Source organism: Homo sapiens, chromosome 5, assembly GCF_000001405.40.
Source record: "Homo sapiens chromosome 5, GRCh38.p14 Primary Assembly".
NCBI classification, from domain to species: Eukaryota; Metazoa; Chordata; class Mammalia; order Primates; family Hominidae; genus Homo; species Homo sapiens.
Window position 1 is genome coordinate 79051542 of NC_000005.10, and position 15723 is coordinate 79067264.

General features: G+C 40.0%; 1 protein-coding gene across 5 annotated transcripts in view; it reads right to left on the bottom strand.

Annotated features, from left to right (window-relative positions):
* Positions 1-15723, bottom strand: part of DMGDH (dimethylglycine dehydrogenase) — a 72111-nt gene that overhangs the window by 53978 nt on the left and 2410 nt on the right. For 3 of the 5 annotated variants that reach the window (NM_013391.3, XM_011543355.3, XM_006714597.3), the window contains exons 2-4: positions 12072-12246; positions 4269-4367; positions 2643-2807 (exon numbers count right to left, since the gene is read on the bottom strand). In NM_013391.3, coding sequence (NP_037523.2) covers positions 2643-2807; positions 4269-4367; positions 12072-12246 — 439 coding nt within the window. The remainder of the gene's footprint in view (positions 1-2642; positions 2808-4268; positions 4368-12071; positions 12247-15723) is intronic. The other 2 variants (NR_104003.3, NR_104002.3) reach the window with 1 other exon arrangement.

Consider the following 15723-nt stretch of genomic DNA (forward strand, 5'->3'; position numbering starts at 1 on the left):
TCAGTAAAAATATATCCTGCTAGTAAACGTTTAGTAAAACTGGACTTCAAAAGTGTTTCTTGATCTGGAAAGTGACTGGGTCCCTGAAGACTTCATGAAAAAGCCACCATTCAAGTCCTGGACTGCTGAAAAGAAAGAGAAATAAACCTCTATCTTGTTTACACCTTCTTATTTTGGTTTCTGACATTTGAAGACAAATCTAATTCCAACTGATATATCAATTATAATTTATATTTAATTTTTAATACTGTTAATAAATTCACATTAAATAATATATCTGGTGTCAGGAAATTTATGTTTGATTCAATCATTCAACAATTAATTCTTGCATATCTACTTTGTTTTAGGCCTTCAGGCAAGGTACTGTGGGGAAAACAAAGAAGAATGAAACTCAGATGGGATACGTTGATAGAATGATCAGTGAAATATTATATATGGGTCTCATCTATTCAACAAAAATTGGCTGAGCACCAAATACAAGCAAGGAGCTTTTGTCAAATGTCTTTTCTGTATCTATTGAAATAACTGTGTAGTTTTGTCCTTTATTCTATTAATGTGGTATTGTTACATTGATTAATTTTTAGATGTTAAACCAACCCTGCATTCCTGGAATACATTCTATTTGGTCATACTGCATAATCTGTTTTATATGTTACTGAATTCAGTTTGCTAGTATTTTGTTGAGGATTTTTGTATCTATGTTCAAAAGGGATACCAGTCTTTCTTTTTGGGGGGATGCCTTTGTCTGATTTTGTTATCAGGGCAATACTGGCCTCATAGAATGAGTTGAGAGGCATTCACTCTTCTATTTTGGAAGAGTTTGAGAGAGATTGGCATTAAGTCTTCTCTACATATCTGGTCAAATTAACTAGTGAAGTCATCCAGGCCTGGGGTTTTCTTTGTGGGAAGTTTTTGATTACGAATTCAATCCTTTCATTTATTATAGGTCTTGTGCAAGGGACTTTCTATTTTAAGGGAATTCACATTTCTAAAGACTTCCAAATGTCACACAGGTGTTTTATAATGGATAGGACCTCGTTGTAGTAATCCCACATCTGTTTGGTTTGGTACCTTCTCCCAGATGCAGAGAATACCCTTCACACATATTCCCATTGCTTAATGAATGCCCTTGAGAAAAATTCATGATAGTGAGGAGTTCCAGCAAAGCATTCAGGATTGACATATAAACAAATGTAAGTATATCCTTACTGGTAGTGGAGGTAAAATTTCAATGCAGACAATGCAGTGCAACACCAATCTGCCATCACACTGGTATCACACACAACTATAGACAAGGGAGTGCCAGCAGCCTGTGAAGACTCGCAAAGGCAAACAACCCTAGCACCCAAGTCAATGATACAAACCCTCAGAGATGGGAACTGCTGCAGTGGTCACCAGCAGGGAAATAAGCATGTGTTTCCCCAACAGCCCCATCTGATACACTTGGGCAAGATGTATAATGCAAGGGAGTCAGAGAGCATGGGTTTAAATCTCTACTCCAGCTCTTTCTAGTGAATGAGCTTGGGCTCACTATGTAAACTGTCTGAGCTAAAATTTCCTGTTTAACAATAATATATACCGCATAACATAGATATAGATATAAACTTTTTTTTTATTTCTGAAATTTTAGAGACAGGCTCTCACTTCGTTGCTCAGGCTGGAGTGCAGTAGTGTAATCATAGCTCACTATAACCTCAAACACCTGGGCTCAAGAGATCCTCTTGCCTCAGCCTCCCAAGTAGCTAGGACTACAGACGGAATCCTACTACCCCACACTCAGTTAATTTTGTGTGTGTGTGTGAGTGTGTGAGACGAGGTCTCAGTATGTTGCCTAGGCTAATCTTGAACTCCTCGCCTCAAGCAATCCCCCCACCTTGGCCTTACCACATGCTGGGATTACAGGAGTGAGCCATGGCATCCAGCCTGCCCCATACTATTATTGTGAAGATTACATGAAATTATGCATGTAAGGACTTAACATACTAACTGGTACATAAATACGTGCCATGAAATTATGCATGTAAGGACTTAGCATACTAACTGGTACATAAATATGTGCTACAGTAAGTGTTAGCCATTGTTATTATTATTCAAAAGGAATTATTACCCACTAGGAAAAAACACTAAATTTCATGTCAAGTAGGTTCTCTCAGGCAAATGTGGTATAAATCTAGATCCGTACCTAGCACAGAGTCTGTAAGGGGAGTACAGCTATAAGCTAGGTGATATTTGTAGAGCAACGTACCATGGCATTTCTTAATTTGATTTTTAAAACATTTTAATACCACAGTCTTTCTAGACATTTATCATATCAGGTTATCATTCTCTCTGCAGTTCTCAAACAGAAGGTTTGTGTATGGAAACCCTTAGATCTGGGGGACACAATAATGGAAAGGTATTGAAAATGTTTAATCAATTGTCAAAGGTGAAAAACTAACAAGATTTGTCATTACCTTTTTATATATCATTTACTGTATATAACAGCCTATCTTGTAAGTTACCCAAATTCCAAAATTAATCATATGATTTTGTCACATTTAAAATGTGTGTACCAAGTTTTCTGTTTTTAGTTAACTTCTTAATAACTTTTTCTAATTTTTACTTAAGTCAACAAATGGTAAAAATGCCCTTAAGATAAATACCTTATTCATGTTGAGTAAAGGGAACATCTCTTGAATTTTTTCAGGTTCAATGAGATACTGTTCTGTTGCATGCCAGCCAGTCCGAGTCATTTGATATTTAAATTCATCTACCCTTACAGGGGTGGTAGCAAGTCTGATACTACCTGGCTGATGGAATCCCACCACCTGTGACAATAATTCCAGTGAGAGCATATAAATAAGTCATTGTTTGGTACTCAAACATGGTTCTGCTCCAGTATAATGAAAATGCAGCTGTACAAAAAGATTTATTACGAGTGAAAGAAATAACTATTAAAATATTTGCATCTTATTAAAAGACACTTATTCAGCAACTACCATATTTACTAAGTGCCTGTTCGGAGCCAGGCACTATTCTAAGCCCCACAGGTGTAGGGGTGAACAAGAAAGGTAAAGACTCTGCCTAAGTGGAATTTATACCCCACAGTTGAAGACAGACAGCTAAATGCAAAATCACAGTAGCATGGAATGAGTGTTAATGTACAGCGTGAACAAAAACTGTATGAAAAAGAGAAAGACAAAAAATTTAAGGAGAGATCATGTAGAATCAAAATGTTGCAATGCTTAGATTGTCTGAATTGAAGTAAACATTCATTTGACATTTATTAAAGTCCTTCAGTTTGCCAAGCACTCAGTTACAGAGATAAAAGATATAGCCCTTGCCCTCAAGTTACTTGTAGGGAGGACCAACAAGTAAATCAACAATTACAATAGAGAGAGATTCAAGTTATAAAAGAGGTGTGCACAAATGCTCTGAGAACCAAGAGATGGGACCTCCAGCTTTGACTTGCCTAGCAGGCAGGAAAAGTCAAGGAAGGCTTCTCAAAGGTGGTGACCCCAGGGAAGGTGGATGCCGAAGATGGGGCCAGGGGAAGCAGCAGAAAACAGAACACAACAAAAACAAAAAGCAGTGATTTGAGAGAGCTCAGCACATTCCAAAACTATATGTTATTGAGAGTAGCTGAAGCAGATAAGCAGAGGGAAGAATGGAAAAAGAAACAGTTGGGACAGCAGGCAGAGGTCAGCTGACAAAGGTCATGTTCCTAAGGCCATGCTAATCCTTTGGCTTTGTCTGGTAGACTGTGGGGAGCCATTGGATGGTTTAGGCAAGGGAAGTGACATGGAAAATTTGAGACCTCAGTCTTAGCCTATGGATACTCTTTTGCCTGCCATTTTATTTTGAGAGTTTGAGTAAATATGAGAAGGGATAAACATGAAAGTGAGGGGCTCTTAATGAAGTACTGTTCAGAGTCATGGGACAATCTGGTACATTCTATCGTCAGATCCTTTGCAATGCAATTGCTGAAAGACTCCAATTTCTTAGTTTCTAGATATAGTAACTGGCTAAAGATACTTTTGAAAGCTGCTTTTTATTCTTTCTTCATTTAAAAAATAAAGAATGGTTCATGACATGAATAATATACTTTGAGAAATTAAGTTGATTTTAAAGCAGACTCTAGAGGTTCTTACCTTAAACTCTCATCATATTCCTCTACTACATTAAGCACTCCACACGGTCATACACAATGATGCATCAAAATCCTTCAGAAATCTTACATGTTTCTGAGAAGCCGACCTAACAGACAGTTTCAAGTTAAATGCCTTTACCTGACCAGTTTCTTCTTCCAGTTTCTCATAAAGTTTGATGCTATCATAATGTATTTTCTTCAAGTTTATTCCAGGATGAAAGTAAGTTGTTAAACCTGCCTTAAAAGCAGAGAGGAAAAGAAATACTGAAAAAAAATTAACATTCTCAAAATGTTGACAGTTTATCTGTTAAGCAATAATTTAATGCTGGAAAGAAACTGAGAAGCACCAGCCAGTCCTTTGGGATGAGAACACATCAGCACCAGTTTGAGCACACCAGAGCATAAGGCTCATGACAGGTTTTAAGAAGCAATGTGAACTATGTGAGTAAAGTGAGAGCCAGCCAATAAACATACATGTTAAGTCCCTACAAGTTAACATGGATAGCGTTGTACAGAGATTCAGAAATGGGATGATTTAGATGGAAGGTTTAGGACTATGTGCTATATAGTCCTATGTATGACTATATAGAAAAGTATCTTGGGAGGCCAAGGTGGGCAGATCATGAGGTCAAGAGTTCGAGACCAGCCTGGCCAACATGGTGAAACCCCGTCTCTATTAAAAATACAAATGGTGAAACCCCGTCTCTATTAAAAATACAAAAATTAGCTGGGCGTGGTGGCGGGCACCTGTAATCCCAGCTACTCGGGAGGCTGAGGCAGCAGAATTGCTTGAAACTAAAAGGCGGAGCTTGCAGTGAGCCAAGATCACGCCTCTGCACTCCAGCCTGGGCAAAAGAGCAAAACTCCATCTCAATAAATAAATAAATAAAACTATGGGGGAGGCCAGGCGTGGTGGCTCATGCCTGTAATCCCAGCACTTTGGGAGGCCGAGGTGGGTGGATTACCTGAGGTCAGGAGTTCGAGACCAGCCTGGCCAATATGGAGAAACCCCTTCTCTACTAAAAATACAAAAAATTAGCCAGGCATGGTGGTGCAAGCCTGCAGTCCCAGCTACTTGGGAGGCTGAGGCAGGAGAATAGCTTGAACCCGGGAGGCATAGGTTGCAGTGAGCCAAGATCACGCCATTGCACTCCAGCCTGGGTGACAGAGTGAGACTCTGTCTCAAAAAAGAACAGAAAAAAGTAATGGGGGAATGGCATACAATGTGGATTCAAGCCAGCAAACCATGTGTGTGTTCCCTTAAGCAGAAGGACCATGGACTAGCACAGGATCTTCTTTGACCCAGTCTCCACCCTTCTCTTAAATGGAGCAGCCCTCCTGGCCCTTTCCTGAAATTGCAAAATTTAAGAATTAGAAAATTCCTTATCACTGGAGCCTGAAGAATAGGTGAACAGACTTTTGTCAAAGTTTAACCTGTTTGATGAGCACATAGGTGGTACACTGCAAATCTTTGTTGAATAAATATTGATTGATTATTCTCAGAAAAAAGTATCTAAATATTAGCTACACTAAAACTCCTTTTCTCAAATCTGGCAGATGTAATGTGGAATCCAGAAAAAGAATTCTAAGCAATTATTTGAAGCAGGTTCTCTCAAATATCTGGGGCCTCACTGGGCAGCTAATTTATCCTGGAAAGCTCATCAGAACACAATCTGTTCACAGTAAAATCTACTTAGGAGTATTTATAAGGTACTTCTATGGTAGTGGTGGGCATTTCATCCTCCTGCACTCAAATATGCCATTAAAGTTTGTCAATCATCCTTTATAACCAAAACCCTGAGGCTTCCATCCAGTACTTGTTCAAACATCTGGACATATCCATGGCTGATTTTTTTTTTTTTAAGAAAAATCCTGGCCCAGCTTATAGGTCATCCAGTAGCACAGCTCCATGTGGAAGTAGAGAAGGGATTCCATTACAATGCACCTGTAAGCCAAACTCTTCAACTTCATGGCCAAACATGCCCTGCTGCTTTAACATGTTGGTATCCAGTGTGCATGCAAACTTTCCTGGTTCAATAATAGAGAATCTCTGGCCTTCAGGTATCTGCTAGTGACCCCCATTTTGTCTTAAACATATCTCCTATATATATGTCCTATATAAAACTGACAATATATATTTTCAGTTGAGAAATCTGGTCATCACAAGCACTGGCCTAGGGTACTGATCACCATCCACTCCTCAAGATCCTGTAAGCTTTATACCTGGGTTAAGCTAGACCACTGGAAAATTATCTATCTACACTACGCAATCCTCTTCTCCCTCACTCCAGAAATTTTAAGTTAATTCTCTTTCATGTGAAAAGGTCACATTGGTTCATTTTTTCAAAAACTCTTACTGAAGACATTTAGCCCAATGTACTTTGTGTAGGTAACAAATTATTTTAGAAATTCGTTGTCAAGGAAAAGTTAGTCTCCCTTACCGCAACAGTATACCCAGTTCTACTAAACAATTTACACTACCCTCTTTTCCTTGCTGCTACGATAGTCAGAAGTAAGATATGGACTCAATTTTCTCACTCAGACATAGAAATTATTTAATTTTTATACCCTTTCTTTTATATATTGGCTTTTAAAATCTGTGTTTAAAATTTGGGGCTACCCATATTAGCGCTTCCATTTAAATTATTTGAAAGTGATATTGCACATGGTATCTTTTGTTAATGTAAGTGCCAGGCTTGAATATGAAGATGGCACAATGTTTTAATCTTCTGTGACTTCAACGAGGACATATTAAATGAGAAGCCTGAAAGAAGGAGAAAACATTGTTCTTATCACTCAGGATTTTATAGTCTGAGGTTATGAAACTTTCATACAGGAAACAATTAAATCAAGGGTAAATGATTGAGTCCTAGACACATAGTAACTATGAAACTAGGGAAAGAGAAGATGCCAGAAAGGTCACAGAAGTCATAGGAAAGGAGTTTAGCTGTCGTTTGGAAAAAGTGATTGTAGCTGGTAGAGAAGATAAGGAAGGGAAGATGAAACGGAGATATAATCATTAAGAATTACAACCCTTCAAATAAATTAAGAATTTGTAAATCTTTCTTGAGATAAATAAACAAATAAGTACAGGAGAATGTAAAGGTCTTCCTTAGACTGACAATTAATAAGATAGAAGGAATGATGGAGTTAGAAAATTCATTCCTGGATGCTAAATAATGGATAGCATAACGGATGCTAACTAGTGCTTCCCCTGTCTCCTTAACAAACCTCTCCCTCTCTCAGGAGCCTCTACTACCTCAAAAAGTCCAGTGACTGATGTCAAACCATCCTATATTCCAGTGGCTCCAAATCTTTCACTCATACATTTACACCCAATACAAAGTTTGGAATATAACCACTAAAATACGTGTATTTCTTTCCTTACATGTGATATGTAAATATTAATAGAGATCATAAACACACAAAACAACTGAGAATAAGTGAAGTACTCAAAAACACTTTTTATTTTATATACTGTGTAGAAAAGCTTTTGAATATGAAGCTTATTAAGAACATTTTAGCAAGAGCTATGTGATTAATACATTTCACTATTAAAATATCTGTGCTACCTTAACGTTTGTAATACAGCGATGTGAAGGCCTGGTTCTGGCTTTACGTTATTTTGAGACTGCTTTCAATGGTGGTATAGCTGCAGAAGACACCGCTCAGTGAGGCACACACCCAAGTGAGAGAAGTGCACGATTGGCTGTGTCTCTGCATCCTGACACCCCTTCCTCTACCTCAGTCAACACCCATATGAAGGTTTCTCTTCACATTTGACTATGACATTTCATGTTCTTGTGTCTGCCTGTTGTTACAAACTAGTTGGAAGGTATTGCATTTTTTGTATTTTAAGTAAATGGGAACAAATCCTGTTGAAACTCCTCATTTAGAAAAAAATTGAAATGGATTAAAAGTTTATTTCTCACATATATGAGAGTTTTTCTATGTGATACATATCATTTTGGGGCAGAAAACCTAATAATAATACCAACATTTCCAAACATCCCTTTTCAAAATGCTGTTTTCCCAACAGGACTATTTTGCAAAAGGCAATTATTTCTCACCTACTGAAAGCATCACTTTTTCTGTGAAGGGACAGGCTGCATCTATTTTTTTAAATATATAATCTGCTATGTAGAAATCACTGGCAGCCATTTGCATTCACAACTTTTTAGCTACTGCTAGTAGATAACCAGGAAACCTGTATGTAATACAACACTCCAAAGTTCACCCCTCTCCCTTTCATCACACATGATATTATTTAAAGCCCTATTTCTATAAAGCTAATCACAATGGTGATATCCTATAGCACGCAATCTGCACCATGTCATGGTATACGGAAGACAAGAGAAAGAATGAGGACACTCCCACCATGAAGTGCCAACCTCCCGCGTAGTCAACCTTGAAATCATACACAACACATCATCCACATCAAATGTGAGGGTTATTTATAAATATCAGTAAAGCTTAACTTCTTTCTTACATTTGCAGACAAAAACAAATGGAAAGTTCTTATATCACCTCCTACACCCCAAATGGATCATCCTGAATCTTTAGTCCTCAGCTCTCAAAACATCTACTTTGGTACCATCCCCAAGGGCAGCCCCTTCTCGGGATCCCAAGCTCAAAACTTCCTTCTTACTCCATCCTCTCTTGTTTCCCTGCATCCACATGAAATGCTCTATCCTATTAGGTATATCATGAGCTGACAAAGCAGTCTTGTTAAAACCTTAGGATTTATGGATTTGTGATTCCATTTAGAAGATTCACTTTGCAAGCTGTGCTTTCCTCTCCAAGCATTTGATTCCCACACTCTCCAGACACTTCTCTCATGGAGCACATATCGTGCTTCAGGGAAACTGCCTTTATTTTTATAGTCTGCCTCTTGTTAGCTGGCTCTGCAACCTTCCTTATTCTCAGATCTACTCCACAAATATCTCGGTGTTAAAAATTCTTAATATCAGCCTGGCGCGGTGGCTCACGCCTGTAATCCCAGCACTTTGGGAGGCCGAGCAGGGCAGATCACGAGGTCAAGAGATTGAGACCATCCTGGCCAACATGGTGAAACCTCATCTCTACTAAAAATACAAAAATTAGCTGGGTGTGGTGGTGCGCACCTGTAGTCCCAGCTACTTGGGAGGCTGAGGCAGAGAATCACTTGAACCCAGGAGATGGAGGTTGCAGTGAGCTGAGATCATGCCACTGTACTCCAGCCTGGCAACAGAGTGAGACTCTGTCTCAAAAAAAAAAAAAAAATCAATGCGGCCAGGCTTAGTGGCTCAAGCCTATAATCCCAGCACTTTGGGAGGCTTAAGTGGGAGGACTGCTTGAGCCCAGGAGTTTGAGACCAGCCTGGACAACGTAGGGAGACCTCATCTCTACAAAAAACTTTAAAAATTAGCAAGGCGTGGTCGTGCACAGCTGTGGTCCCAGCTACAGGTGCTGATGTGAGAGCATTGCTTGAGCCCGTAGGTTGAGGCTGCAGTGAGTCATGATCACGCCACTGCACTCCAGCCTGGGTGACAGAGTGAAACTCTGTCTCAAACACACACACACACACACACACACACACACACACACACACACACACAAACACCTAATATGTTGGATTTCTTCATGCTGCTGCTCAGAGGGAGGCATCTTTGACTTGCAAAAAACCCTAGAATCAACTTCCTAGGACAACTGTCTTTTATTCCAAGGGGGCCAAATAACCTGGCTTCTGATGCCTGATTCCACCTTGAACTCACATTGCATGGATCCTTATTTTGTAAACCATAGCCTAATACCTTGTATGCAAAGCAGGATAATGCCTTTCCCCACTCACTTTGGTATCTTTGTGTTTAAGAAAAAAATATTTTGCGTAGTTAACTTTTAGATTAAGGGTATGTTGCTTTTTATTCATGGGACATCTAAGAAATAAAATTTCAAGGAATCCCGTAACCTCTTCTAAAATGCAGGCCAGGCCAGGTGCGATGGCTCATGCCTGTAATTCTAAAGTCTTGGGAGGTTGAGGCTGGAGGATCATTTGAGGCCAGGAGTTCAAGACCAGCCCGGGCAACATAGTGAGACCCCCATTTCTAAAAAAATTAAGAAAATAGCTGGGCATGTTAGCGCACACCTGTATAATCCTAGCTAACTGGGAGGATTGCTTGAGCCCAGGAGTTTGTGCTTATAGTGAGCTATGATTGCACCACTGCACTCCAGCCTGGGCAACAGAGAAAGACCCTGTCTCAAAAAATAATGATAATAATAATAGTAATAAAATCCAATGCAGGTCACATTAAATCAGTATATAAGTGAGCAAATAAGTAATTCAAACATTAAAGCGTATGCCCTCAGTAACAATTCAGAAGTGGTGAGAGGGTGTAAGCCCTCCCTCGAAGGGTATTTCCACTTGCCTACATTTCCCTGCCTAAATGATCTTTCCAGAATAGCCTCATGGCCCCCTGGCTCACTGCTCCCTGGTCTCTGTTGGCAGGTCGCCTCTTTGAAACATCCTCCCTAGCACCTCCTTCTTCTCCTCCTCCATCATTTTGCATCCTTGACTGTACTTTACTTTTCTTCATGGTGATTACTCTCTAGCATTGATAGGTGTTTTCTGTCTGCCCCACCAGAATGTGAGTTCCACAAGGGCAAGGTCTTTGGGCTTTTATGTCTGGGCAGCACTCTCCCCCAGATTCAGCTGGAAGCAGGCAATCCTTTTCATGCTAGACTCTCCACCCTATACTTTGAGCACATACTAGATGTCAAAAAGCCCCTCAAAGTGAGGTTCCCTCTTCTCAGCCAAGGAAGGCTAATGATGAAATGGGATGATGAGCAGGGGCTAACGCTGCCCAAAAGAAAACTGCACCAGCAGTCCTAAAAACTTCCTCTCCCATCCCTAAATGATGTCAGAAATCCCTGGTTTGGCAATATGACAGCAGTGTCAATCCCTTCATCTACCTGGGCAGCTTTCCAGGTAAGCCTAGTCAATTATGGCGCAGCCCTGGAACAATTATGCATACCATGAAGAATGCAAGACTGACTTGGCCTGTGTCTCATGTAACACAAAAGCTGTGCTACACTTTTGCAGTCCTCATATTCAAGTCCTCAGGGGGCCAAACTGTCATCTCACAGCATAAAATTAAAACCATAAGGCCAGGCGCAGTGGTTCACTCCTGTAATCTCAGCACTTTGGGAGGCCAAGGCAGGCGGATCATGAGGTCAAGAGATAGAGACCAGCCTGACCAACACGGTGAAACCCCGTCTCTACTAAAAATACAAAAATTAGCTGGGTGTGGTGGTGTGCACCTGTAGTCACAGCTACTCGGAAGGCTGAGGCAAGAGAATCGCTTGAACCTGGGAGGCGGAAGTTGCAGTGAGCCGAGATCGCGCCATTGCACTCCAGCCTGGTAACAGCGAGACTCCATTTCAAAAAAAATAAAAAATAAAAAATAAAAATAAATAAAACCATAAGTAAATAAAAGGACCACCAAATGCAGGTGAGGGGAGTATAGGTAAAGATCTTGGGCCCATATCCAGGCTCACCCAGACAGTATCCTTCCATATAAAGCTGACATTTATTATCCAATACCTTGCGTTTAATAATTTTGCACATGTTAACTCAATCTTCATCACAATCCTATTAGGTAAGTACTATTAATATTCCTATTAAGACATCAGAAAATGGAAACTTATGTAACTTGCCAAAAGTCACACAAGGGTAGAAAATTGCAAAGCCAGGATTCGAATCCAGAAGCCATCTGTTCAAGATAAAGACATCATAAATATTGGTTGTCATCTGGAAGTACACCAGTTAAACTACAACTGCACTTCCAACGCTATTGAAGGGGAACGCACTCTAAAGAGCTCACAGTTGGGAGTTGTGAACGGGAAGGAAATGGACTTTACTCATGCACAATTCCACGCTTATGACAGTTTGGGGTGCTTTTCTTACTGCGTGCCAGGTAGATCCAGCCGTGAGCTCTGATTTCTCCAGCAGGACCACATCTTTCATCCCTGCTTTGGCCAGGTGATAAGCCAGACTCACACCAACACAGCCACCTCCAATTATCACTGTTTCTGCTCTGTCTTTCCATTGTGTTTCTGCAGATAAGGGTGGTTTTTCCTCTCTGGAAGAGGGAAAGTTAAAATGGGAACTTCAATCGGCAATGGTAGCTATAGTTCTGGCCTAAAGCACTTCCCCTTACCCGTTTCTCTAGTACTTAACACCCACTGACTGAGATTTGCATGATACTGATTTAATAATTTGGAGCATCTAAACTGTGATTTAGGCAACCTGGTTGGGGGAGGGGTGTTTGAGCCCCATTCCATATAATGATTCTGGTCCATTGTAGCTACTATAGCCAAAGAAATGAACAAGTAGCTTCTTTTTTTCAAAGAATCTAGAGAACAGGTCAGGTTTGGTGATGCACACCTGTAATCCCAGCACTTTGGAAGGCCGAGATGGGAAGATTGCTTGAGCCCAGGAGTTCAAGACAACCCTGGGCAACATGACGAAGCCCCGTCTCTATAAAAAATACAAAAATTATCCAGGCTTGGTGGCACATGCCTATAGTCCCAGCTACTTGGGAGGCTGAGGTAAGAGGACTGCTTGAGCCTAGGAGGTTGAAGCTGCAGTGAACCATGAGTGCGCCACTCCACTCAGACCTAGCAGACAGAGTGAGGCCCTGTCTCAAAAGGAAAAAAAAAAAAAGATTTAAAATTGTACAGCTGTCTAGGGTACTTTACCATGAATCAAGCTTGTAGGACTGGAAGTTGCTCTAGATGAGTCTGAGTGAGAGGTGAGTGAATGTGAAGGCCTAGGACATTACTGTACACTACTGTAGACTTTATCAACACTGTACATTTAGGCTACTCTAAGTTTATTTTTAAATGTATTTTTCTTTTTTCAATAATAAATTAACAGCTTACTGTAACTTCATTATTTTATAAACTTTTAAATTTTTTTGATTTTTGTAATAACAGTTTAAATGCAAACACATTCTACAGCTATATAGAAATATTTTATTTCTTTATATCCTTATTCTGGAACCTTTTTTCTATTACAAAATATATATATTTTTTTAACTTTTCAAACTTTTTTTTTTCCAAGACAGAGTATTACTCTTTTGCCCAGCCTAGAGTACAGTGGCTTGATCTTGGCTCACTGCAACCTCCACCTACTGGGTTCAAGCAATTCTCCTGCCTCAGCCTCCCATGTAGCTGGGATTACAGGTGTGCACCACCACACCCAGCTAATTTTTGTGTTTTTGGTAGAGATGAGGTTTCACCATGTTGGCCAGGCTGGTCTTGAACTCCTGACCTCAAGTGATCCTCCAGCCTTGGCCTCCCAGAGTGCTGGGATTACAGGCATGAGCCACTGTGCCTGGCCTCAAACTTTTTTATTAAAAACTAAGACACAAACACACACATTAGCCTAGGCATACACAGGGTCAGGATCATCAATATCACTGTCTTCACACCTCCAAATCTTGTCCCACTGGAAGGTCTTCAGGGGCAATAACACATACACAGCTGTCATCTCTTTTTCTTTTCTTTTCCTTTTTTTTTTTTTTTTTGAGACAGCGTCTCACTCTGTCACCCAGGCTGGAGTGCAGTGGCGCCATCTTTGCAAATTCCACCCCCAAGGTTGAAGCGATTCTTGTGCCTTAGCCTCCCGAGTAGCTGGGATTACAGACACGTACCACCACGCCCAGCTAATTTTTGTATTTTTAGTGGAGACGGGGTTTCACCATGTTGGCCAGGCTGGTCTTAAACTCCTGACCTCAAGTGATCTACCTGCCTTGGCCTCCCAGAGTGCTGGGATTACAGGCATGAGCCACCATGCCCGGCCAGAGCTGTCATGTCTTATGATAACAATGCCTTCTTCAGGAATACCTCCTGAAGGACCTGTCTGAGCCAATTTTACTGTTAACTTTTTATTTTATAAGTAGGAGTATACTCTAAAATGATGATTTAAAGTATAGTGTAGTAAATACATAAACCAGTAGCACAGTGATTTATTATCATTGTCAAGCATTATGTACTGTATGTAATTGCATGTGCTATAGCTTTATGTGACCGGCAGCACAGTAGGTTTGTTTAACCAGCATCACTACAAACACGTGAGCAATGTGTTGCATATGACATTATGACAGCTATGACATCACTGGGTGATAGGAATTTTTCAGCTCCATTATAATCTTACGGGACCACCATTGTATATGTGGTCCATCATTGACCGAAACATCATTATAAGGCACATGACTATACATATATGTATATTATAATATGTATATTCTATGTGTATACACATTTTAGAGTAAATTGTAGGTATCATACCCAGTTACTTCTAAATATTCTTTTGCTAGTTTGGTAAGAAAAAGGACATTCTCTTACATAACAACAGTACAGTTTTCAAAGTCAAGAAATTTAACATTGATATACTATTATCTATAGTCCATATTTAAATTTAATCAATTATTCCAATCAATTTATAGCTACTTTTTTCCAGTCAGAGATCAAATCCAGGATTCTGTCTCTTTAATCCCCTTTAATTTGGAACAGTTCCTAATACTTCCTTTGTGTTTTATGACCTTCACATTTTCGAAGAGTACTAGCCAGTTATTCTATTTTATTTTTTTTTTAGATGGAGTCTTGCTCTGTTGCCCAGGCTGGAGTGCAGTGGCACGATCTCGGCTCACTGCAAGCTCCACCTCCCAGGTTCATGCCATTCTCCTGCCTCAGCCTCCCAAGTAGCTGGGACTGCAGGCGCCCACCACCACGCCCGGCTAATTTTTTTTTTTTTTTGTATTTTTAGTAGAGACGGGGTTTCTCCATGCTAACCGGGATGGTCTTGATCTCCTGACCTCGTGATCCGCCTGCCTCAGCCTCCCAAAGTGCTGTGATTACAGGTGTGAGCCACCACGCCCGGCCAGTACTAGCCAGTTATTTTATAGAACAGTTCTTACTGTGAGTTTGTCTGGTGTTTCCTCATGATGAGACTTATGTTATGCATTTTTGGCAAAAACATCATGAAACTGATGTTGACTCCTTCCCAGTGTATATGATTAAGAAGCGTATGATGTTGGTTTGTCCTGATATTGGTGTTGTTTCTGTCTGATGACTTGCTTAAGGTGGTGTCTGTCTGATTTGTCTAGTAAAGCTACCATTTTTTCCTTTGTATAAGTAATAATGTGAAGTGTTACTTTGAGACCATGTAAATATCCTGGTCCTTATCAAACTTTTACTGAGTGGCTTTAACATCTATTGATTATTTCCTAACCCCATCATTCCTATTATATTTAATAGTTGGCATTCTACTGTAAGGAAGTAATTTTCTTTCACCCTTGTTTGTTGGTTGTTTATATTAACATGAATTTATGGATATTTATTGTTTTCAGTGGTTTCTAATCCATTACTAGTCATCATTTATTTGAATACCAAATTGTCCTAGATTTGGCCAGCAGGAGGTTCTTTCAGTTGACTCCTGTATGCTTTTGACATGGCTACATAATTCTTAGAGCATGTCCTTATTTCCTGGTGCCACAACATGTTTCAGCAGTTTTGTTTCACCGGTTTTTAGATGACTATTAATGTCTCTTTGT